The sequence below is a fragment of the Homo sapiens genome, chromosome 1 (assembly GCF_000001405.40).
Source record: "Homo sapiens chromosome 1, GRCh38.p14 Primary Assembly".
In the NCBI taxonomy this organism is placed as follows: domain Eukaryota; kingdom Metazoa; phylum Chordata; class Mammalia; order Primates; family Hominidae; genus Homo; species Homo sapiens.
Window position 1 is genome coordinate 192521436 of NC_000001.11, and position 27548 is coordinate 192548983.

Genomic DNA, 27548 nt, shown 5'->3' on the forward strand with positions numbered 1-27548 from the left:
AGTTTTCTAAATCTCAGCACTTTCATCTGCACCTTAAAGATAATGTTATCTACCTCACCAGTACACTAACCAAATAAAATAGCATACACCAGAATAAACTATAAAGCAGCATGAATTTTCAAAGGTTTTGTTGTTTTTTCAGAATCAATTTTAAAGTTCTATCCACATGAACATACGGGTTTCCAAGTGTATCATCCCTTCCTTTATTAAACATTTGCTAAAACTAATAAAATACTAGGAATATCAGACACCAAATGTGCATTGGTGATGAAATAGACAGAGTTCCTGCCTACATGGAAAAAGCATACAGACAATAACTGAAATTGTGTGTGTATGTATTTGTATATGTGTATTCACAAAATTTACAACTGTAATAGGTGCTACGACAGAATAAAAGCTGAGTTAAGGGAGGGTCCACTTAACAGGCTTAGAGAAGTTCAGCAGAGTCTCTGAGGAAGTGACATTTATGCCAAAATTGGAAGGACAGGAAAGAGTGAATCAAGCATGGGGGTGGGGTGGAGAGATGGGTTAAATGTGTGAATGAGTGACTTCACACTAAGGAACATTTTGAACTCAGCCATTTAAGAAGAAATATTCAACAGTGTGCACAACCAAGAGAGCCAGTAGTTATTACAGAAAACAAAAAGTCACACTTCCTAATTTTCTTTGTTCTTCACTTATTCCCTGAACATCAATAATCAGTCAATATGTGTTTTTTGAACTCTTACGACTGACTCTAGTATTTTTCGAAGTATAGTAATGATCCATAGAGATAATTGATTTAAAAAAATATTATGAGGCTCCACCCTATAATTCCTAAATCACAATATCTTGGGAGGGGCTCTGGAATATGCTTTGTAACAAGCATCTCAGGCAATTATGGTAGGCGATAAAATGGGAAAAATGCTGGATTAGGCACTAAACTAGGTGTTACATACAATATCAAAAGAGACACTCATGTATTCTGACCACAAGGTACTCAAAATATAGCTGATAGGTGATAAGACATATACACTTGAAATTATAATTAACACAGTAACTTGTCAGGATACATGCCCAGACAAATGGAACCCATAAATGGCTTAGTAGTCCAGGCATGAGAGATCAATGAAAATAGCAGCTTCTAGCTGCAGCAACTAGATGTCCTCCTAGGGTACACACTATAAGGCAAAAATGAGGCCAGAACCCTGTGAATTCTATGAAATGCATGAAGAAGCATTAGCTGGGATACTTTGCTGAAAGACCAAGTGACATTTTAGAAGTTCTAGTCATGATTGCGGAAATCTTTGTGCAGCAGAGTCCTGTCCAACTTCTTCAACTACTATCCTAGGAAATGTAAAGGATAGTGCAAAACACATATGGATAGAGCACAGGAATGCCAGGACTGTATCTTCAACCCTCTCCCCATGTGAAAACCGATTCAGGAGAGGTGATCTGAGTCACTACAAATTCATAATCTAGGAATTCAACCCGTTTTTTCAGGCCTCGTTCTCCCACTCCAGCCAAACGTAAAAAAAGCCTTCAATTATGAAATCAGAATTGCCCACCCCTGTGACAGTTACAGCCTTGGAAAGGATATAGGCTCCAACCTGCACCAAAAAGACTTTGGTTTAGGATAAAACAACATACAAACTTAACTGTCATTATCCATCCCTGTTTCCCAAATTGCTGCCTAGAGTCAGGTACTTTGCTAAGCAGGATTTTTTACCTGGATGCCTAATCCTTCTTTCATGTTTTAATCTCTAGGGTTTATGGGACTTGGTCTGGACTGAATTTTATGATTTCCCAACCTGCATGCACTTAACTCATTGTTGTGTTGCTTAATTTTGCCGGACTTGACTTCAGGCCTTCCAAATAATATTACTTTCTGATGTTATATTCTAAGGGCAACAAATATTGACAAAAGAGATGCTCAGAAGCAAGTGTAGGATTGAAGAGGGAATAACCTGCCCCACTGCCTTCCCTCTTTTTCTCTATATTTCGATTCTTGCTCCTCTAAGTGACTTGATAGCACAGAATTTTGAGGAGCTTTCCTAACACATATCCCCAACATGCCTTACATGATTATGAGGCTCTGCCCCATAATTATTAAATCACAATATCTTGGGAGGGGCTCTGGAATATGCTTTGTAAAAAGCATCTAAGGCAGTTATGTAGGTGATGAAAAGGGGAAAATGATTGTTACATAATTGTTCATGTAAGCTTCTGGGTATGTATGCCACCACAACCTCCCATCACCACCAGCCTATGCCCAATTTGAAAGAGCATGAATGAATATTTAAACACAAAGTGACCTGAAATTCTACTTTGGAAAACTTTTCAACAACTGATTTATTAGCCACTGAGATCTTTTGCATAAGATCACAAAAGTCATCACTGATAATTCTATGCCTTTTCTTGTGTTTCTCCAAAAGTCGGGAATGTCACTATCTCTCATCCTTATGTGTTAAGGCACAGCAGAAAATAGACATCTGTGACTGTTTTTGGCGTTTTCAATGGATAATTACTTGTTCCTGCCACTAGTTCACAACAATGAACCATGTTTATCATACTGTATACTGCTTAGCTGTGTATGTGTCTATCACTTAAATTGTCAGCATGTTAGGGTGCAAGGAACATGGGCTTTGAATTCGGAAGGTTTTGGCTTCATCATTTACTTCCTATGGGCATTTAATAAAATTACATAAACACTATTGGTTTTCCAGTTTTCTTCTATTTAATGTAATTAGTAATATCTATTTAATGGGCTTGTTGGGAATATTATATGACAATATTTATAAAGAGGGCCTTGTACAGTGCTGGATACAGAGTAAGTCCTCAAAATGCCACCTGAGCTGATGAAATCAGAATGGCCAGTATGCTCTGGCACTGGCACTTCTGGTAGAACTCATGCTCACAGCAGTGGCTATTTTTATCATATCCTGAAAAGACTTCTCATGTCTCAAAAATTCCTGCCAAATAAATGGATAGTTTGTTCTGCCTTCAGTGCCCTCCCAGTTCCCAGACAGAAACACAATATGAACTACAAATTCCAAAATCCACATTTAAAGTTCTACCAACTGCCAACTAAAACAGAATTTTCCCAATTCCTCCTTTTTCTATGTTCCAGGCAGCTAGTGAGAAGGTGTTGGTAAAACGTGTGGTTTCCCCTAACACAACCTCATTGACCTTCTGCCCTTTCTAAAGATGTTTTCCTCTTCAACATTTAAAGAACTGTAAAGTTAATTTTTCCCACCGAATAACCAATGACTATATAGGCAAACATCTAACAGAAATACTGAGAAGGAAGAGGAGGATAAATAAATCTTCCCTAGGAAATATTATTTTCATCACAAATTTACCTGGAACACTTTTGATAGACATAGAGCCCAATCTCTCCCTACTAGAGAAATCATTACTTCTGAAACATTAAGATCCCAGAAAATAAGCACATAGTTGGAGCAACATTGGCAAGTGGGTTTAATAAGAACATGTGAAGTAGGACATTATTAGGACATTCCTAGGAAAAGATAAATTGAATTTTATTTTCAAAAGCTGCCTTAAAATTTCTAACACACAAGTCAGAGAGAGTGAGCAGTAAAATATGTTTGAAAGTACAATAACAGATGAACAGTCTAAATTCTAAATTTTAAGTAACGACCAAGAAGGAAAGGCCCTTCCATATAGCTTATAAAGGAAAACAAAAGGCTTTCTACAAAGAGTTAATTACTGCAAATTAGATGACCACAGAATTTTGACTACTAAGAAAGACAGAAAAGTATTACCAGACAATAGAGATCTGAGGTGAAAAAAAAAAAGAATCTTCTAGAGACTGAAATATGTTTCCACACCTTGCTAATGATTGTCCAAGGACCTTCATGCTTCAAATTGCAGTGATTAATTGTCATTCTTTTTCTTAATCTATCAGCTGCATTTAACACATAGGCCCCCTCCTTATGAAAATATGTACTTTCTTCAGTTGGTTCCAAGAGATCTCACTCTCTAGGTCTTCTCCCTCTTCCTTTCCCCTCCTTTTTGTTGGATCCTCCCCTTCTTCCCAACCTTTCAATATTGCTCCTTCTTCATAGGTGTTCCCACCAAGTCCTATTTATGTGCTGATGTCCTCCAAGTTTATATCCCGGCCTTCCCCTCTCTCCTAAAATCCAGACTCCTGTATCCAACTATCTTTTCAATATCTCCCCTCGGATCTTTAGAGGGCTTTGCAAATTTAACATTTCTCAAAATGACCTCTTGATTCCCACCCACCCATCCAAACCTATGCTTCCTCCCACAGTCTTCACCTTGTTACTTAATGCCACCATTATTCATCTGTTGCTCTACCCAAAAGCCTAAAGGCATCCTTGGCTCCCCCTCTTTCTCTCTCAACCTACATCATCTCCTTCAGCAAGCCCTGGCCACTCTATATCCGAATTTTACTGTATCTGAATCCTAGACCAAGTGCCATCAGTTTTCCCCTGGATTCCTGCAATAGTCTCCTATCTGGTTTCTCTGCTTCCATTTTTCTACCCTGTTCTCCCATTAATCTATTCTCCAAAGAAAACAGGAATTCTTTTGAAAATATAAACAAAATTCTATCATTTTCCTTCTTGGAAACATCTACTGGTTTCCTATCTCACTCAAAATAAAACCCAAGCTCATTAGGTTGGTCTATGAGATCCTCCTTTATCTGGCCTAGTAACAGCTGATACCTTTAACCCTATCAATCTTTTTGTCACCACCCATTACACTACTGCCACAGAGCCTTTAGATTTGCTGTCTTTTTTTTTTTTTTTTTTTGAGACAGAGTTTCGTTCCTGTTGCCCAGGCTGGAGTTCAATGGTGTGGTCTCGGCTCACTGCAACCTCCACCTCCCAGGTTCAAGTGATTCTCCTGCCTCAGCCTCCCAAGTAGCTGGGATTTGGGATTACAGGCACCCGACACCACGCCTGGCTAGTTTTTTTGTATTTTAGTAGAGATGGGGTTTCAGCATGTTGGCCAGGCTGGTGTCAAACTCCTGACCTCAGGTGATCCACCCACCTTGGCCTCCCAAAGTGCTGGGATTACAGGAATGAGCCACTGCGCCCGGCCCTTGCTGTTCTTTTTGTCCAGATGCACTTCCCTGAGATATTGTTATAACTTGCATTATGACTTTTCTCAGGTCTCTGTTAAAATGTCAGGTCTTCTAAGAGGCTTTTCCTGATTTCCCTTCCTTATTCTCCAACATTGTCCTCTACTTCTTTTCTCTCTCTCATGGCTCATATTATCAGGCATTATATCATTTATTGATGTGCTTATTGTCTTCACCACCATCACCACTAGAATATAAGTTTCATGAAGTCAGGGACTTGATTTGTTTTCTTCTCTGCTATATTCCCAGTGTCTAGAGCAATTCCCAAAAGATCATGGGAACCAGTAAATAATTGTTGAATACAAAAATTCTGAATACAAAAATTACTAATTAAATATGTGTAAGTTATTTGTTAGTAAACTACAAGTTTATATGGACTTAGTCAGTCTCAATGAATTATCTTGATTTTACACAGCCTTCAGTTTAATCTCTACAGAACTACCTGGTACTAATAGCAAAGTTCTATTGTCCATTTCTGTCGGTATAAGCAACAAACATATCATTCACAACTAAATGCAAGTGTAACTTACAAAAGTAATAACTAAACCTGGATATTAACAAGTTCATATTGAACTGCAAGTTAATAAAATACTATCAATAAATCCGAAGGTACATAATATCAAAGAACTTAACACTGCAAACAATACAAAGAACCCACACAATGAAAAAGCAAATGAGTACCACTCATGTGGTAAGCAGCCTGAGGTCACAAAATCATGATAGGAAAAGATCAAGTTCAAATCGTTTGATTCACCTTCACATGACCAACCTATATATATTCCACAGGAAAAAAGAGAACTTGCTATGGTCATTTATTGCCTCTCTCTAGAGTTTCCAGAAGACAGTATGAGGTCTACTCACTAAACCATTCAGTGACCAGATCCAGGAATAATCATTTGTCAGAGGAGAGGCTCACTGAATGATAACAGAATAAACTCAGGCTAACTCACACACCTTAAATAGAATATAGGTTTGCTAAAGGAAACTATCCATGAATATCAAGTTAAGACTCCCACTGGATTCCAGGAACAAAAAGGCTTTCGCTTTTACTCACTTTCACAAGAGCTCTATGCCATTTACTTCTGGCCAAGGAAGTCATGAGTAAAGTCAAATGCTCAGCTTCCATGACAAAATATTGGGGATTTCTCAGGAATAGTTTCCTTCTCTTGAGCAGCTTCAAATATATTTTAAAACTAGGCACGTGCCCAGAGATACACATCCATACACGCAAATATATATAGACATATGCTAACAAAGATATACGACAAGAGGTTACCAAAGATACATGGGTCATGCATGTATTCTTCTAAGTTTTTTTTCTTATTGTCATTTTCATGTTTTGGAAAGGATAATTAGACATGCCTGGAAATTAGGGTATTTGCACAATTTGGGAAAACTCAGTCATGGAAAAGAGGGTTGTGATGTAACATCAGGTACTCTCTACCTCCTTCTTACTCTTTCACTCATATTCCATAGGCTGAATGGTAGCAGAATCAGAAGATTCCTCCTCTTCAGCTTGGGAACCTGTGAGTGGCCAGTACCAGAGAACTGCTACTGACCCATGCAAACTTTTAGAGCTGAAAATAACTATTAGAGTCAAGATGTCACATGATGTGGTTACAGAACTTGCCTTCTAGTCACAGTGATAAACAAACAAACAAAAATGAGTCAAGTTAGGAGAGTAGTAGAAAAATTCTATGCAGAACTGAATAAGTTGTGTGTATATATATAAAATACATAAAAATATATAATAAAACATAATATTTCATTTTTTAAAACAAAAATAATTATATCTCACTGAATCTCTGTGATTTCTTTTTTACCTAGCTTCTCTCAGTGGACTAAAGTAAGATCTATAACTTTTCCCTCTACTTATTGAAGACTTTAATTATATATGCATATAAACAAGTATGTAAAAAATATATCCATCATTTATTAAACAAATATTTCTTGAGCACTAGTATGCAGCAGGCACTGTTCTAGGCACCAGGAAAATACTAATGAACAAAAAGACAAAAATACCTGCTGGGAGTTACATTCTAGTGTGAGGAGACAGGCAGTAAAAACTGGCAATAATATATAGAATTTATATGGTTATAACTGCTGTGAATAAAAATAAATCAGAAAAGGAGGATAAAGGGTTTTGAGAGGTTGCAATTTAAATATCATGGTCAGTGAAAGCATCATTGAGAAGCTAAGATTTTAGTAAAATCTGAAAGAAGTAAGAGAGCAAGTTATTCAGGTATTCAAGGAATATTCCTCCAGGTGGAGGTCACAATTTGGGGGCGGGGAAAAATGGTGCCCAGCACAGTAAAGGAAGATTTGTGAGTGAAGTAAAACACACAAAAAGAAAATACGGTTAGAGGAATTACAGGTCAGATTACTTATAGCCTGTAGGACTTTGGCTTTGCTCTAAGTTAAATAGAAAGTCAATAGAGGATTTTGAGCAAAGGAACGAATAATCAACACTTTTTTTTAAAGAATCACTCTGGTAGCTGTGTTTAGGATAGACTAAAAGTGTGAGATGGAATGGAAAACTTAAAAAGGATGATTAGCTAAGAGGTCATTGCTATAATCCAAACAAAGGATAATCAGTCTTACTTAGAGAAGGTTAGTACCAGAGGAAATGGCAAGAAATATATTTCAATGATTAAAATTAACAGGATGTACCACAGACTAGATGTGAGAGGCATAAAGATTGACTGTAAAGATTGTAGCCTGAGCACCCGGAAAGAAAGGAATTCCTATAAATACACAGAGAGTAGAAAGAATTTACCAAAGGCCAGTTAAGAGTGATGGAAAATACAGACATCCTAATTTTGAGAGGCCAATTAAACATTCAGGTAAAGAGGGGCAACTATATCCTGAATTAAAGGTAGGGATTCAGATAAATATTTAAATTTAGGGAATTTTCAGCATACAAATGGTACCAAAACCATAAGAATGAAAGATCACTCATTCATTAAGAATGAGAAAAGAGGAGGGATTTGAGGTCTGAGCCTTGGGCATTCCAAAGTTAAGAAGTGAGGTTACGAAGAAGAACCAGGAATGGAAAATGAAAAGGAAAAGCCAGTGAAGTCAAAGGTAAACCAGGTTTGTCCTGGAAGACACGTGAAAGAACTTGCCAAGGAGGAAGTAATAGTCAATTTTGTCTGATTCCACTCATAGGTCAGGTAAGAGGGGTTTGATGATAGATATTGGTTTTAATGACATAGACAAGGGCAGTTTTTATGGAATGCAGAAAACGAAAGCTTTAATGAATCTATTTTGTTCACTATTGGCGATGGTAAGCATAATTGTCTCATACTATAAAGAAAGAAAAAATGGTGCAGTAGCTGAGGCAGATAATGAGATAAAGAGATCACACTTTTTTTAATGGGAGAAGTCATAGCATATTTACATGCTGATGGGAAAGATCATGTTAGCAAGGGGAAAATTCCAGAGGGAGGAGAATGGCTGGAGTGATATCTTCCAGAGGTTGGGGAGCTGCCCAAGACTCCAGCATGGATAATTCATCCTTGAGAATAAGAGAGAAAGTAGAATATGTGGGCATGGAGGCCAGAGGTTGAATGGATGAGGTAGTGGGAGTTTTCAGGAATTCTCCTCTAATTGCTTCTATCTTCTCAGTAAAATGAGAAACAAGATTATTACCTGATAGTAAAAGCTAAAAGAATAAAACTCATAACATAATTCAAGGAAAAAACAAAAGGAATGCCCAGAGAGAAAGGACTGATCCCTCCTAATAACCTTATATCTCATTATAGACAAACTTCTGTACAAGGGCTGAAGACAGGACAAGATGTGCTGATGTATAAAAAGTCTAAATCTGCAGCATAATCGTGAAGAGATGAGGAAAGCCACGTACTCAGAGCCTCACTTAAAGGAAATGAAACAGTAAAACTGAATCAGATTTGGCTCTTCACTTCTGCCTTCAGTGCTGTCCAGACTCAGACATTATATCAGTAGGTTTCAGTTTTACTAACCAATAAGTTCTTTGTGTACTTAAAGTTGGTTGTTTTTTAATGGGGATGTGGAATGGAGGGGTAAATATTTTGTGTTTTTTAATGAGGAATCCCAAACACTAGAGTTTTTTCTTTATATTGCAAAGGCACTGATGCCCCTTCTCACAAAATATTTCATGCTTCAGTATTGGCCTAAAGTTGACTATCTTTATATAAATTAAAATCTTCTCATGTTTTAGTGGTGTTTTAGAAGATCTTGACATGTTACTTTTTGAATTAAAGTGAAACGCATAGCATATGGACTCAACAAAACCATTCTCTGTGAATAAAATGTGTCACATTCTATAATAAAACTATATATAGCATGTTATTCCATATTCTGTATGATTAATTTTAGAGATTATATCTTGAATTCTGCTATCAATCTACAATGTTTATTCATTCATTCAACAAATATTTGTTAAGAACTACTATGTGTCAAGTACCTAGTTTGCAACAGTGAATAAACAGATATTCTTGAGTTTGTGAAGTTTATTATATTCAAGAGACAGAAATATAGATAGTACACAATTAACATAACACCTAAGAAAAGAATTTAATATGTAATAAGATCATAAGTACAATGAGAAAAAATGCATCACAGTAAGGAGACTGGGGAGAGTTTGCAATGTGAATCATGTGGTCAGAGTGAGTCTCATTGAAAAGTTAACATTAGAACAAAGACTGGGAGAAGACGCAGTTGTGAGTCATCTGTGTTCTGCAGCGGGAACGGCAAGTACAAAGGCTCTGAGGAAGGAGGGCGCCTGGAGTGTTTGCAGCAGTGTGAGGAGGTCAGCTTAAAAGTAGAAATGAGAAGAAGAATAGATGATAGGATCAGCTGGCTATGCAATTTGCAGTGCAAAATAAATTTGTGGGGACTCTTGTTAAAATTTCTTTCTCTTTTTTTATTATACTTTAAGTTCTGGGGTACGTGTGCACAACATGCAGGTTTGTTACATAGGTATACATGTGCCGTGTTGGTTTGCTGCACCCATCAACTCATCATTTACATTAGGTATTTCTCCTAATGCTATCCCTCCCCCAGGCCCCCACCTCCCAACAGGCCCCAGTGTGTGATGTTCCCCTCCTTGTGTCCATGTGTTCTCATTGTTCAACTCCCACTTATGAGTGAGAACATGCAGTATTTGGTTTTCTGTCCTTGTGATAGTTTGCTGAGAATGATGGTTTCCAGTTTCATCCATGTCCCTGGAAAGGACATGAACTCATCCTTTTTTATGGTTGCATAGTATTCCATGGTGTATATGTGCCACATTTTCTTAATCCAGTCTATCATTGATGGACATTTGGCTTGGTTCCAAGTCTTTGCTATTGCGAATAGTGCCACAATAAACATACGTGTGCATGTGTCTTTATAGCAGCATGATTTATAATCCTTTGGGTATATGCCCAGTAATAGGATGGCTGGGTCAAATGGTATTTCTAGTTCTAGATCCTTGAGGAATTGCCACACTGTCTTCCACAATGGTTGAACTAGTTTACAATCCAACCAACAGTGTAAGAGTGTTCCTATTTCTCCACATCCTCTCCAGTACCTGTTGTTTCCTGACTTTTTGATGATCACCATTCTAACTGGGGTGAGATGGTATCTCATTGTGGTTTTGATTTGCATTTCTCTGATGGCCAGTGATGACGAGCATTTTTTCATGTGTCTGTTGGCTGCATAAATGTCTTCTTTTGAGAAGTGTCTGTTCATATCCTTCTCCCACTTGTTGATGGGGTTGTTTGTTTTTTTCTTGTAAATTTGTTTGAGTTCTTTGTAGATTCTGGATATTAGCCCTTTGTCAGATGAGTAGATTGCAAAAATTTTCTCCCATTCTGTAGGTTGCCTGTTCACTCTGAGGATAGTTTCTTTTGCTGTGCAGAAGCTCTTTAGTTTAATGAGATCCCAATTGTCAATTTTGGCTTTTGTTGCCATTGCTTTTGGTGTTTTAGACATGAAGCCCTTGCCCATGCCTATGTCCTGAATGGTATTGCCTAGGTTTTCTTCTAGGGTTTTTACGGTTTTAGGTCTAACATTTAAGTCTTTAATCCATCTTGAATTAATTTTTGTATAAGGTGTAAGGAAGGGATCCAGTTTCAGCTTTCTACTTATGGCTAGCCAGTTTTCCCAGCACCATTTATTAAATAGGGAATCCTTTCCCCATTTCTTGTTTTTGTCAGGTTTGTCAAAGATCAGATGGTTGTAGATGTGTGGTATTATTTCTGAGGGCTCTGTTCTGCTCCATTGGTCTATATCTCTGTTTTGGTACCAGTATCATGCTGTTTTGGTTACTATAGCTTTGTAGTATAGTTTGAAGTCAGGGAGCGTGATGCATCCAGCTTTGTTCTTTTGACTTAGGATTGTCTTGGCAATGCAGGCCCTTTTCTGGTTCCATATGAACTTTAAAGTAGTTTTTCCAATTCTGTGAAGAAAGTCATTGGTAGTTTGATGGGGATTGCATTGAATCTGTAAATTACCTTGGGCAGTATGGCCATTTTCACGATATTGCTTGTGTCGATTTTCAAAGGGAACGCTTCTAGTTTTTGCCCATGCAGTATGATATTGGCTGTGGGTTTGTCATAAATATCTCTTATTATGTTGAGATACGTTCCATCAATACCTAGTTTATGGAGAGTTTTTAGCATAAAGGCTGTTGAATTTTGTCGAAAGCCTTTTCTGCATCTATTGAGATACTCATGTGGTTTTTGTCGTTGGTTCTGTTTATGTGAGGGATTACATTTATTGATTTGTGTATGTTGAACCAGCCTTGCATCCCAGGGATGAAGCCAACTTGATTGTGGTGGATTAGCTTTTTGATGTGCTGCTGGATTTGGTTTGGCCTTTGTTAAAATTTCTTAAGAATTTCATGGCAACTAAAGCAGAACCTTAAATCATGCATAAGCCCAAACATTCTCAGCACAGGGCCCTGAGTGGCTGCACAGGTCACACACCAAAAAAGCAGGCTTTGGTAGGAAATAAGGTCAGGTCAAACAGGTAAGAAAGTAGGAGAATATATTTTGAAGGGCCTTCTAAACTCTTGTAAGAAATTTGACTTTCACTCTGAGATAAATGAGACATAACTGGAAAGATCTGAGCAATTTCAAGTATGGGATCTGTGTTGAAATTAGTTTAGGAGCCCAAAGTGGAAGCAGGAGACCACTTGGAAAACTACTGCAATAATCCAGGTAAAAGATGATGGTGGCTTGGCTCAAATGGTGAGAAGTTGCAGACTCTGGAACTCACAAGATTGGTGATGGGTTTTATAAAGGGAGAAGAGAAATTTCAAGAGGAATAAAGAATGACTCCAAGGTTTTTGACCTGAGGACCTGAAAAACTGGTGTTGCCATGGACTTAGATAAGAAAGTGTGGGAGAGAGTCCAAAAGGGGCAGTGGTGGAGGGGGAGGGTCAGGAGTTCAATTCTCAACACAAGAGTTTGAGATGCTAAGACACTCAAGTGGAGACTGAGTTGGCAGTTGGACACATGAGTCCAGTGTTCAGGGGAGTGGTCAGGCTGAACATATAAATTTAAAAGTAATCAGGAAAGCCTTTTTTCTTCAGTGCAGCAAAAAGTAGAGTTCTCAACACATCTAGATTCTTCAGAAGTTCTAGGCTAATCAGAATTATTTGTATACCCCATTGCTCTTGGCTAATGACACCTGTACTAAAATTTTTACATCCTACTCCATTCATCTTTTATTAAAAAGTCCTTTTTTCTCTATTATTTAACAGTATGCCTTGGCTGTAACTGAACACCAAGGTGTTTAAAATGTGACTAAGAAGTTGAGGAAATCTGTTTGTAAATATCATAATTAGATTTCTCTACCAGCAGTAGACTTTTCTATTTGATTTTGGAACAGACTATTGATTTTTTGCAATCTCCAGACTGGCCTTTTGGTTACATAAATGTAAAGAAAATATCCGTCTATAAAATCTATGATATCATCATTAATCTAAATGCAGATAAATATTCTGGATAATAATAAACATTCTGGTTTAGGAATGTAAACTAGTAGGTTGAGCTAAGGCTGCATATTATTTTTGTCAGTAGGGAAAAAGAACAGTTATCCAGGGGTGAGAAGAACTAGCAATGTGTCTGGACTTCTTCCTGCACCTGGTCAAAGAGTTGGGGGTATTTTTTGTTAGTTTTAGGAGTTGCTAAAACATGAAACAGAGGGGCTGCCTTTGCAAAGACGTTAGGAATCTCTAGGTACACACAATGCTGTGTAAGGGTCTGACTATCTCAAAGAAATTACAGAGAAGAATGTTTTTCCTGGCTCTGTTCAGAACCTGATCCACAATGCCAGTGTATCTGACAGTGGCAGCTCTGAGAGAATCTGGCAGAGAGTGCTTCCTTAGCAGGATCCTGGTCAACCGGTCAACCAAGAGGCCCAGGAGAGGTGCCTTCAAGGTGCATGAGGTAGTAAACACCAGCCAGCTGGAGCAGTATAGGAAAGAGTAGGGAATGAGGGGCCCCATGGTGAATGCATGTGAGGCACCCTCTGAAGAGCCCAGAAATAAACTTGGAAATGTTTTGCAAGGAGAGGATTGCTATTCAGTAATTACTTCCTTGGAAAGTTGTAGCGTGATAGAGGGTCAGGGTTACTGTAATTTAGTTTACTGATGTATGATGCCATTTTTACCCTCAGTTTGGTAACAGCTGGATGTACACATGTATACTAGTTCTAGTTAGGCACCGAGATATTTGTCAGCTGTTTTCTTTGAAACTAGGTTTCTTTCAATATGGCCCATTGGCTAAGGCCAAGTAATATAGTCCAGTCTATTTCTCTAAGCTGAGTGAACTGCTTTCTATATTCTTTCCAGTCTTCTGCCAGGTCCCCTTTTTCCTGCCATCTGTCACAATGAGAGAGATTGATAGGAAAAGAGTTTTTGTGATTAAAATTCAAAACGAATACAGATTTCCATTGCTTATTATAATTAGAAGTACAGTGATATCTAACCATGTAACGACATTATATACCTCACCCCACTCTCATACTCCAACAAGAAGATGAAAACCCAGACATGTTACTAGTTAATAACTCAGCATAATATGAGTTATAATAATGTACACAGTGCTTACAACTTAAATGTGAACTAGAACTTTTTTTCCTATAATTTGCTTTCAACTTATTCTCGAGTTTGAAGATGACCTCTCTTTGGGGGTTTATGAATGGGTGGAGAAAGGTAAATTGATCCTCACACACAAACAGAAGAATTATGTCTCCTTTTCATGTCTTTAAATATACAAGTATGTCCTATAGTTTCAAACCAGGTATAACATGACTAATTTTTTTTGTTTTTTAATAAACTTCTTTTTTTAAAAAAATGAAGAAAGCATTTAGTTTTCTAATCTTTAAAGAAGTAAAACACTTTAGAATTATATCACATACATATGAGGTAATTTATTTATTCTGATTATTCATATAAAATAGAGTTTTTCAACCCCAGTGCTGTTGACATTGAGGCTGTATGAGTTTTTGTTGTGGGAGGCTATCCAGTGCACCGTGGCATGTTTATCATTATCCCTGGTCTCTAACCACTAGATGCCAATAGCACTTTCCTACCTCACCACCCCAAGTCATTAAAATAAACAGTGTCTTCTGAAGTTGTGACATATCCCCTGGGGGTGCCCTAGTTGAGAACCATTCATAAAGAATCTATTACTTTACAGCATGTAAGAGAGAAATAAATTCATTTTCATAATATATTTTATTATTCAATCATCTCAAGCAACCATTTGAAGTCTTCAACCAAAGGAAGACAACAGAGTTTTGCCAAACAGATAATGCAAGACATCATATTTCCCCAAAATTATTAAATGAAACCATGTACACTATCATTTGATGAAGCATAGAAAATATCAGTTACCTCTGTGTCATATTCATGCTACTCATAGATGACAGAGTTGACTAATCAATTTCCTTCAGAAATTCAACAACAGCAAGTATCAGGTGATTTTTGTCCACTCAGTAGAGTCTATGTCTCATTAAGCTGGGCAACGGGCAGAAAGATTACAGATCGGTACTGGAGAACTCTGTTGGTTTTTAATCTGTTTACAGATAACAGCTTTTACCTTTGTGCACACTTCTAATACTAGTATCTTTTAATACAATTATCTTTCATGTCAGGCATTTTTTAAAGTTATATGTTGATTGTGTAGATTTCCATTTCAAAGGGGAAAAGCAACGGTTAGAAACTTCTGAATGGAACATAAACAAAACCAAGCATTTTTTCATATTGGTCCATTACACTCCCATCTCTTGCTTGATGCTTGAAGAAAAACTCAGTCGCACAGGCTTCATGCATATAAAGCATTTCTTATGTGGAATATATGAAGAGAAACTCAATAGCAAAACTTACTTTCAAGACTAGATGAATGAGCCACTTATTTCAAAAAATATATAAAGGATACTACCAAGGAAGTCACAGAATTTGATTTGTTCTATGAGTTTACTATGTTTACTCTTGATTGTATTTGAACTTTAATCCTGTCTTGCTGACTTTCTTCCACTGTACACCAAGAGCCTCACAAAGAAAGGAAAATTGGAAGGTTTGATGATGTAAAACCTGAGACATTTAACAGATATTTTTAAACTTCCCCTACTTATTCTACTTTTTTTCTTTTTTTGTTCACTTTGCCCACCTCAATTTATTTATTTATTTTTATTATTATACTTTAAGTTCTGGGGTACATGTGCAGAATGTACAGTTTTGTTACAAAGGTATACACATGCCATGGTGATTTGCTGCTCCCATCAGTCCATCACCTACATTAGGTATTTCTCCTAATGTTATTCCTCCACTAGCCCCCACCCCTTGACAGGCCCCAGTGTGTCATGTTCCCTGCCCTACGTCCGTGTGTTCTCATTGTTCAACTCCCACTTATGAGTGAGAACAGGCAGTGTTTGGTTTTCTGTTCTTGTTATCACAAGTTTGTTGAGAATGATGGTTTCCAGCTTCATCCATGTCCCTGCAAAGGACATGAACTCACCCTTTTTTATGGCTGCATAGTATTCCATGGTGTATATGTGCCACATTTTCTTTATCTAGTCTATTATTGGTGGACATTTGGGTTAGTTCCAACTCTTTGCTATTCTGAATAGTTTTGCAATAAACATACATATACATGTGTCTTTATAGTAGAATGATTTATAATCATTTGGGTATATATCCAGTAATGCAATAGTTGGGCCAAATGGTATTTCTAGTTCTAGATCCTTCCAAAAAAGAGCCCGCATAGCCAAGACAATCCTCGGCAAGAAGAACAAAGCTGGAGGCATCACACTACCTGACTTCAAACTATACTACAAGGCTACAGTAACCAAAACAGCATGGTACCTGTACCAAAACAGATGTATAGACCAATGGAACAAAACAAAGGCCTCAGAAATAACACCACACATCTACAACCACCTGATCTTTGACAAACCTGACAAAAACGAGCAATGGGGAAAGGATTCTCTATTTAATAAATGGTGTTGGAAAAACCGGCTAGCCATATGCAGAAAACTGAAACTGGGCCCATTCCTTACACCTTATACAAAAATCAACTGAAGAGATCAAAGACTTAAACGTAAGACCTAGTACCATAAAAATCCTAGAAGAAAACCTGGGCAATACCATTCAGGACATAGGCATGGGCAAAGACTTCACATCTAAAACACCAAAATCAATGGCAACAAAAGCCAAAATTGACAAATGAGATCTAATTAAACTAAAGAGTTTCTGCATATCAAAAGAAACTATCAGCAGAGTGAACAGGCAACCTACAGATTGGGAGAAAATTTTTGCAATCTACTCATCTGACAAAGGGCTAATATCCAGAATCTACAAAGAACTTAAACAAATTTACAAGAAAAAAAAACAAACAACCCCATCAAAAAGTGGGTAAAGGATATGAACAGACACTTCTCAAAAGAAGACATTTATGCAGCCAATAGACATATGAAAAAATGCTCATCATCACTGGTCATTAGAAAAATCAAAACCACAATGAGATACCATCTCATGCCAGTTAGAATGGTGATCATTGAAAAGTCAGTAAACAACAGGTGCTGGAGAGGATGTGGAGAAATAGGGATGTTTTTCCACTGTTAGTGGGAGTTTATCCTTTTTTTCTACACAGGGATATTCAGGTGGTGGCATATCTAAAAAACCTTACATAAACAAAAATGTATTTTTAAAATATATTTTATGCTACTTAAATAAGAAACCAAAAAAGAAAAATGGGAAGGCGATTGTCCTCTCCTCCCAGGCAGGGTAGATAAGAAAATAGAGAGGCAACATGAAGTGGATACTTGCAACTCTTAATGAAACTGAACCAGATACTCAAGACAGATGGGCTCCCCTACATCTTGCAAAGCAAAACTTATTTGTTCCTTTTACATTTTCAATTGCTTAATTTGAATTTCTTGGTGCAGGCAAAAGGATTTGTGAGAAATGTTTTACCCTCTTTCATTAAAAAAAAAAAAAACTATTCAATAGCAACTGTCTGAAGAAGGGGAGAAAAAAGGAAAGAAAACAAGAAAAGCCACAAAGCCCAGCTGCACTTAGTTTCTGTTCACTTAGTGCAGCTTATGACGTAGGCTCGTTGTATTTTGAATTTGCACATTAAAAACATTCATTCAGAGAGGAAACTGCCTTTGGCATAACCTGCAGAAGCAAATAGCATTCACAGAACTGTTATTCAAAAAATTGTACCCAGAGAGCTATATTTCTTATTTAAATGAAACTTAAGTAGAACCAGGGAGGAGGGGGAGGTATGTTTTATGGTGGGTAACTTCTGACTTAAAATTTGAATCAGGTTTCATAAACAATTATTGGAATCTGAGAAAAAGTCAAGCATCAAACCCTGAGTAGCTGAGAGTTTGGGGGTCTCACAGCACAAAAAAAAGGGTGTTGAAAGAGGAAGCCCCGTTTTTGCTCTAAGTGACTTGCCTGATCCCGAAGTTATGTTAGCTTGTTTACCTCCAAGCACACCTTTGGAGTGAGATTTTTAAAGCAGTTCTCTTTGTAACATCAACATTACAATCTATATCCTGAAAACTACGAAGTTTTATATTCCTCCTTCCCCTCACTAGGCCTCCCCTGGCCTGCTTGTGTATTTGCTTCTTAGGGTCTACAGGCCTCTCTCTGAACTAAAGCTCTTTTGAAGTCCCAGACTTCCTATCTCCACCCAGGATCTAACTTAGTGTGATAAAGGATAATTTATTTATGAAAAACATTCATGCCATTCTTTTAAACTAGAAGCTTACATTTCAAGGGTATGGAAATGATTTCTAGCTGCCCTAATTTCATGGCATTGGGCTGTCGTATGTCATATACCACTGCACTGTTCATAATATTTAGACAGTTCCATAGCAACCTGTAAAATACAGCCTCCAGAGGTCTGCATTCCTCCAGCTATTCATGAAGGATTGGAGGAATTCCAGAGGAAAGAAACCACATTACAGAGCACTGGGTCTGAAATGCTCCCTTTATGGTAGCAATTGCAGGAAACCTGGAGCAAAAACATGTCTTAGGATTTGATGCAGACCTCACTACAGTTTCTAGAAGCATTCCCTTTTCACTTCTAGTTTTCTGACTTTACTTATAAGGTATCCAAAAATGGTTTGATAAAATTAGACTGCTTTATAGCTTATCTTTTTTTCCTTTCCAGGGTGGACAAATAAATTATCAGATTTTTATTACTTAAAATGTGTTATACAAAAATATTAGTGGGCAATACAGAAACGCAAATATATTCTAAGGCCTGGTTCTCTTTCCATTTGCTTCTTGAAATTTGCAAGTAAAATTTTCATTTTGGCCTACTTTTGAACCAGACCACAAAAACTTACTTTATTACACTATCCATTCACATTAAAATAGAATTTCTACAGTGACCAGCACAGAGATTTTAAATAAATGTGGTCGACACTCCTTAGTCACTGTTGCCATCTTCACTCTCTCCATCTCTCATTTTCATCAACCTGTAAGATAAGTCACTATCTATTTTCTATCTATATTTCATTCAAAATGTCTTATACGTTTGTAGCTCTCTATTCTCATAGGTACTACTTATCTCCAAATTATATCTCCTCGCATAAGATTACCATAATAGTCTACCACTTTATGTCTTTTAAAATATTTCCTGTAGCACCTTATAGAACACACAATATTTTATATATTCATCACATTTGATCCTCAACCTATGTTTTAAGCAAAGCAAACATCATCCCAGCTTCACAGATAAGAAAATGGTCTCAAGAAGACTAAATGACTTTCTTAATCAATGTCATGAAGGTAGCAAGAGACAGAAACAAAACTTGAACTCAAAACCCTTGAATCTAAATCCCAGTTCCCTAAACTTAATACTTCCTTCTTAAGGCCAAATAACAACAGCACAATAAAACCCGCTAAAAATTTCAACAGGTCCCTATTTATTAAACACATATGGCAACTTAGAAGTGGAGTGGCCTTACAGAGTATGAGGTTTAACAATCCTCATTTTATATATTATAGCTCCAGAAGCTTGAGGACTGGGTGATATTTCCAACATTACAGAACCAACGATAGACCCCACCAGTTCTTGAATCCACTGACTCCCAGCTACAGCATTTTCTGCTACACTTTTCTGTCTTACTGCCTTAAGTGACCCCCAGAATTTTTAGCTTTTGATAACATGTCCCAGTAACATGTCCAGCTTTAATTTTACCATCTCAAAAATGTGCCTCTGCTAAAAACAGGTTTATACATTTCACTTTCCAACAGGGGGACCACACTGATACAACCTCTGGACAGTGGTCCACATTGCTCACCAAACCTGGAGCAATGTTCCCTTCAGTCTTTCCAAGTACAAGTCCTAGTCAAATTCTACTCCCTGCACAGAGCTGGCATCTCTGTACCTCAAGAAACCTCCCTTCTCCGACTTCTTGCAGTACTTGTAGTTTCTACCACACAGATCTCATACCTGCAAATCCCTTTGAGGTCAGTGGCCAACTGGTCCTATGTTCCTGTCTAATCTCGTTCCCATGTTCTCCTCACTGAGAACAGTTGTTATATGAAATGTTATTTCCTTTTCCTAGAATATCCTTCCACTCTCACATATTAAACTGTCTAGAATATTCCTACTCAGGCTTTGCTTCTCAGCTTAAATGCTGCTTCCTCCATGAGGCCCCTGCTGTCTCTAGGTGACATAGGAAAGCTGTTTTCTGAGTTCCTATAGCATTCTGTACATTACTCCTTCAAACCAGTTATCTGATTTATATTGAAGTTGTCTACATGTCTGTTTCCTCACTAAAGATTCCTTGTCATAGACACAGTCATCAGCTTTTCTTATGTACTAAGTACTATTCCCAGGACAAAACTGGCACATGATATTTGTTAAATAAATCCAAAAATGAAATATTTATTTGCATAATAATGAAGACATTCTGTGTTACTTTAAGCTTAATAAATAAATACGGAGTTGGAAGCTTAGAGGGAAAATGTTTATCAAGAAAGCAGATATTGACTCTCATTGGCCTAGATCTAATTCCTATAGCAAACAATAAAGCAATGTTGGAGAAAGACAAAGTAGCAATTTATTTAGCTATTATTGTTCTTTCAGGGGTCACGGCCTTATACTTAGAGGTAAGTTCTTATATTCCACTATTTTCTAGAATTGGAGCGACTTATCCTTATAATAGAACTGTATTGAACATTTTGCTATTCCTTTAGCTCACCAAACTTTTTTTTATTCTTTATTTTTTATTTTTCTTGTGATAGGGTCTCACTCTATTTGTCCAGGCTACTGCAGTGCGGTGGCATAGGGTTCGCTGTAACCTGGAACTCCTGGGCCCAAGCAATCCTCCCGCCTCAGCTTCCCAAGTAGCTAGGATTATAGGCGCATGCCACCATGCCCAGCTAATTTTTAAAAAATTGTTTTAGAAGTAGGGTCTTGCTACATTGAGCAGGTTGGTCTTGAACTCCTGGCTTCATGTGATCCTCCTGTCTCAGCCTCCCAAGGCACTGGGATTACAGGAGTGAGCCACTGCACCCAGTCATAGCCCACCAAACTTTCTTAAACCTGTATTTTCAAATAGACTGTGTCCTCTATCTAAGAGGATGCCCCCAACACACTCCTTATTGGACAACCTCATATTCATCTTTTCATAGACAATATAAGGGCCATGTTTATGACCACTTTTCTGATTCCTTCTAGAGATAAATTCTTTCATGCTTCCAAAACCCTGCATGCACAGTTTTAGTACAGCACTTAACTTTATTTATTTACAACAAGTAAATCCTCTTTTTTCCCCTGTGTAGACTGTGACTACATAAAAGCATGGAGTTCACCTATTTCATGTATAATTTTTAAAGCTCAGCAATGTTTAGCACTTTTCATGGAACAAGCATGTATTCATACATTTAAAAGATGAAGAGAGAAAAGGAGGGGAGGAAAATGAAAAGACATGAAGATACTTGAGTAGCTAGTATTCTGATGCAAGTTAGTTTCTGTTTATTAGAAGATTTGGAAGCAAGCAGCAAGGTCAAAGCTATCTTCTTATTTCTGTTTGCATGTAAAGTTGTGGAAACATAAGGTGTTTCTAGAGTAAACTGCCGGCACCTATTCCACAGGTTCTTGGGTGTCAAGAGTCAATACCTAGCTTGTAGCTATGAGAATCCACTTTCGGGTGTTATTAGTGTTGGAAGGCAGTTGCAATGGTAGCAGTGCCCCACTTCTTAATTCCAGCATTCTAACGACTGCATAGCAGCTCCAGGAATTGTTCCTAAACTTACAGCTTTAGTGAAGACCTCAGAGGCAGTAGCTTCCTAGTGGAGTCAATCTGGGGTCAGTCCTGAACACCCAGCCTACTATCCTCTCCTTTAACATTTCAATAATTGTTTAAGTACATCATGTCCCGTATTTTTAAAATCCTTCTTGCTTAAAATACCTATAGTGGTAATTTCTGTTTCCGTTAGTGCATCCTGACAAAATAAGAGGGAACAAAGGGAAGGAGAGGAGAGAAAAGAGAGAAAAAGAAGTCTCGGCATATAACAACTTAATTTCAATCCCTGCACTGAGAGACCTGACCCACAGTAGCTAGTATGGTTTCTAAGCGGCCTAAGTTCACACCCCTGGTATGACCCAACCATCTCATGAATTTCTGCCTTCAAAAGCTCATGGGTGTCAAAAGCATTTCCTGTTTGTTCTGGCTAATACCTGATGATAGGCCCCTGATATTTCCTTCTCAGTGCACTTATTAAAAAAGGATTATAATTGTGAATCCTGTCTCTTTCCCTTTGGAGATATATATGCAGCTCCTACGACTTCACTCGCTCCCTGTCCCTACTCCCTCATTTTCCCTTTAAAGCACTCAGTCACTTCTGCACAAATCAGAATGGAGTTCAGCTCTTTCTTCTTCTTTTTTTTTTTTTTTTTAACTTTTTTAGAGACAGGATCTTGCTATGTTGCCCAGGTTGAGCTCAAACTCCTGGCCTCAAGCAATCCTCCTGCCTCGGCCTCCTAAAGCACTGGGATCAGTTCTTTCTCCTGTTGTCAGTCGTTTCTGAAGAAAATCTGTTTTCACTGCTGTAATGTCTGGCTTTATCTTAGACAAGAGAGACTTATTCTTTCTGCTCTTTTTCTTCAACTTTTGTAGGTCAACTGATAGCCAATTAGATTATAAGAATAATTTTTTATTTCTATAAAAATATAACATTGGTTCATTTTAAACAATATAGATCATTAAATATCATAATGATTTATTATGAAACCACATTTTCTATATATCTTTTAATGGAGAGATAGTGTTCTCTCTCCAGAATATTTAACCTGTGATTTTACCTAAAGTCTGACAGACTAAATACTTCAAGTACTACTCAGTATTATGAACCAATCCCATAAATATTAGAACTTTCTAGTCCACATATAGTTTCAAAGTAAACACTAATAAACAACATGACTCCAAAATTCATCTGCAGAAACTACAATTTAGTGTAGGAACTATAAACTACAAAATAAATTAACATTAATAGAATCGTTCTTTGGCTGGGCACAGTGGCTCACACCTGTAATCCCATCACTTTGGAAGGCAGAGGTGGGTGGATCACCTGAGGTCAGGTGTTCAAGACCAGCCTGGCCAACATGGTGAAACCCCATCTCTATAAAAATGCAAAAATTAGCTGGGCATGATGGCAGGTGCCTGTAATCCCAGCTACTCGGGAGGCTGAGGCAGGAGAATCGCTTGAACCCGGGAGGCAGAGGGTGCAGTGAGCCTAAATCGCACCATTGCACTCCAGCCTGGGTGACAGAGCAAGACTTCATCTCAAAAAAAAAAAAAAAAAAGAATTGCTTTTGTCAATTGATGAAAAAAGGAAATTCCAACTGATGCTTTAAAAGAGAAATTGCCTGGAGTAGAGAAAGACTGTAAGAGTTCTACTCTCTTTGGCCTTCGATTAAACAGAAATATTTCAGAGGAGCTTGAATCCTTTGAAACACACTTATACTGCACAGCGTGTTGCTATCCTCATTTCTGTTACTTAGGTTTTGCATTTTCAGGAAATGAGTAATTTGCCAAACATGCAGAGTCCCATTATTTAGATTCAGTTCTCTTGAAGGGATAAAAACAGTTGTTTAAGAGGGACTCGAAGATTCTTCACATTTTAAGCGTAATATACTTGTAAATGTTTCTCACTTGGAAGAAACTGCTGACAGGTGTGGTTGTGGGTTAAGCTTTAAGAAAGCTTGAGAAATTCCCCTGTTGACTAAGTATCAATTCACTGTAGTCCCAGAGCGATCGCCTCTGGACATCCCCTTTGAACTTTTTTTTTCCTCTAAAGGGGTTCATGCAAGAACTGTGATACACTGTATGTTCCTTCCTAAAAAGAAAGTACCTCCATGGACAACTTGAAAATTTCCAGCAACAGTAAACTTATTACCATTTTTCTCATCATTCCTAATCATTTTTAATGAGGAAGTGCAAACAGCTTGGAATCAGGAGCTATAGACTGTGAATGAAAAATGCAAACAACCTGGAATCAAGAGCTATAGATTGTGAATGAGTAGTCTCATTTAATCTCCACTGCATTCACTCCTAGAGAAGCTTGGAAAATTTCCCCACCTTTAAAATAAAATGGTAATTTTTTCAACTTGTAACCTCATAGAAATAGCACAAACATTAAAAAACAGAATCTGTATCAAAATATGTGAATTCTTTGAGGGACATTAATATTTTTGGCTACAATATTGGGATTATAATGGTAATTATTTGGAAAAATAGTATTATAAAACTTAATACTATTTTTCCAAATAATTACCATTATAATCCCAATATTGGCTATTCCAAGAAATTTAGCTAAAATAGCTGATGGGATTATCCCCACTTTTAAAGAATATTTCACTGAGAATACTAACAACTTCACTCTTACTACTTCCTCTTTTTAAAGTAAAGGCGATCTGAAGAAAGCATAAATGCACAAAAATATTGTACGATAGTCAAAAATAAGAGGGCATAGAAGATGGAATAAGCTGAATGCCTTTCTGGATGCAATCCCTATTGAAAGTCATATCTGAGGTTTGTATCAAAATCATGAGCTGAGATGGTATCCAAGGCAGGAAGGAGCAGATGCAGGCTGAGGAAGGACCTGTGTGTGAGGATTGCCTGAGGACTCAGAATACTGGGTAACTGCATGCATTAGGGAACTTGAAACCACCCACCATTAAGTACGAAACATGATTTCAACATGTTAAGGTGGCTTCTAATGGGTCTTAGCAGTTTATGGTTTCCAGGCTCCATTTAACTAATATCACAGAGACTTTCATTAATGCATGAAATACTGATGTACCTAATCTCTGCAGTCTTCATAAAATAATGACTCACTTTTGAAGTAGATGCTGGTACTTCTTTGGTACATTTGTGTCTTCTCTTTTTCATGTGGTCAGTGACAGTACTACACACCCCATAGTGGATGGAAAATGTTGAGAAATGTTCTGTGCAAATTCATGCCTATCATTAATTTCCTTGAGTAACAGAAATATGTACTTTATTTTTAATTAAACATAAACTTTTTTAGCTTATTGCTGTGGAAAGGGTTTTGTTGCCAAATTTTAAAAAAAATAAACGAATAGATATATAATAACGGTGTACGATAAATTTAAAAAAATACTTTTGCAAGAATATTCAGATTGCCTTATACACATTCTTTGGCAGGAGTGCTCAATTTCTATTTCCTGGCAATGCTTCGTGTGCAATTGACTTTTCATTTCCCGCATTTCCCCATGACTCCACCAACATAAGTTTGTTCAGCTCTTTTTATCTCACATATCACAATACCACCATAAGCACAGCACAAATGGCTGGTGAAAAAAGACACTAGTTGGGACAAAAAGCTTCAAATGCTCCTCTTATCCACAAGCAGAGAATTGAGCCGTCTCTAGCTGTGTATGTCTCATTACTTCTAAAAAACATAGGAAAAAGAGAGCCGAGTTATCACTCATCACTTATCAGATTTAACCAGGTGTTGAAATTAGAAGTCTGTTTACTGCTATGTGATTCACACTATAATAGATAAGATCATGACAGAAACTGGAAATACAAATTAAAGGTTCACCAAATCCATTCCATTTTATTTTAATGCAAACATTAATGAGTATTTTATTAAAAAAAAAACTATGGGACATAAGCTAAACTAGAAGAGGTGATTGTACATAAAGCATGAACCACAGTTATCTTAAGCAAGCCAGTAATGAACATGAACCAAAAAATCAGAAAATTAATATTGGCATGAAATCATAAATGAAATAAATAGAAAAGTGGGCAATTAGAACTCTAGTTTTACTTTTTAAAATATTTTATCTTTTAAAAACTGCATTTTCAAACATAAAAAAACTTGAATTATAACAAAATAATATTTATTATCCAAATTCAATAAATGTTCATTTTTTTCATATTTATATGACAATTTTAAAATAAAAAATATTTGGATATACAACATCTACTTTCCTCCATCCCAGACAGAAATATTATACCATCTCACCTATCAGCTATTGCTATGAAACATGCTGTATAACAAACTACCCATAACTCAGTGGTTTAAAACTATAATCTTTTATTTTCATGGATCTGAATGAAAGATCTGCAGATCTCATCAGAGCCCATTCATGCATATGAGGGCTAGTTGGAAGACAGCCAGTTAAGTTTTGGCTTGGCTGGGGCCATTTCACTCTGTTCCATGTATCTTCCCTTACGACTAGCCTAGGTATGTTCTTTTTTCCTAACAACGCAGAGGCACAAAAAAGCAAGGAGAAATACCAGTCTATTGAGGCCTAGGCTCAAAACTGTCACACTACCACTTCCATCTCATGCTTTTGGCCAAAGCAAGTCACATGGCCAAATCCAAAGTCAAGAGGGGGAAAGAGGCAGCCCACATGTAATGAGAGGGCATATAAGTTACAAGTCAAAGGGGATGAATACAGTAGGGGGTAAAAAATTAGGGCCAAAAACGCAATCAACTTCAACTCCCATTCATGTTTTTATATTAATCCTTTATGTCTATATCTATAATAATTAATGATATTTTTAATTGTTAAGATTCACATTAAAATGATATGTTTTCTTAACCTTGTGCAGTTTGACTTTCTTAATCATTTTGTTTGCAGTGATTACCTAAGTTGATCATTAAATTTATACTAGTTTTTACTACTAGTTTTTTAATTCTATAAATGGATTATAATGCATTCCTCTATTGATAAACATGTCAGTTTTCTCTAATTTCTTATTATTAGAAAAATGAATAAAATGAAAGTCTTGCATATGTTTCCTCATGCAAAAGTATGAGAATTTCTCCAGGGTGCATCTAACATAATGTATCTGAGTCTCAGGGTAAATATTCTTTCTACATTCAAGACAGCCAGTGCTGTCTAATAGAAATATAATGTGATCTCCAAATATAATTTTAAATTCTCTAGTTCCCATGTTAAAAAAATATATTATACACGTTTAATAAATTTTATTTAATACAATATATTCAAAATATTATTTCAAAATATAACCAAAATAAAAATTATCAATGTGATAGCTTACATTTTTGTATTAATTCTTTGAAAATTAATGTGTATTTTATACTTATAGCCCAGCTTAGTTCAATACATTTCTTTGTTGTTGTTGTTGTTGTTGTTGTTTGTTGAGACAGAGTTTTGCTCTTGTTGCCCAGGCTGGAGTGCAATGGCATGATCTTGGCTCACTGCAACCTCCGCCTCCTGGCTTCAAGTGATTCTCCTGCCTCAGCCTCCCTAGTAGTAGTAGCTGGGATTACAGATGCCTGCCACCATACCCAGCTAATTTTTTGTATTTTTAGTAGAGACAGGGTCTCACTATGTTGGCCAGGCTGGTCTCGAACTCCTAACCTCAGGCAATCCACCCGCCTCAGCCTCCCAAAGTGCTGGGATTACAGGTGTGAGCCACCATGCCCAGCTCA

General features: G+C 37.1%; 1 long non-coding RNA gene across 1 annotated transcript in view, besides 1 other annotated feature; it reads right to left on the minus strand.

Moving 5' to 3' along the window:
- The window catches only part of LOC105371664 (uncharacterized), a 115921-nt gene that overhangs the window by 8323 nt on the left and 80050 nt on the right, over window positions 1–27548 (minus strand). The window lies entirely within an intron of this gene.
- Window positions 23715–23774: an enhancer, noted in NCBI's record as "active region_2259". NCBI's record gives its function as "activates an Ori minimal core promoter by ATAC-STARR-seq in GM12878 lymphoblastoid cells {active_cell/tissue: GM12878}" and the evidence as "EXISTENCE:reporter gene assay evidence [ECO:0000049][PMID:35858748]".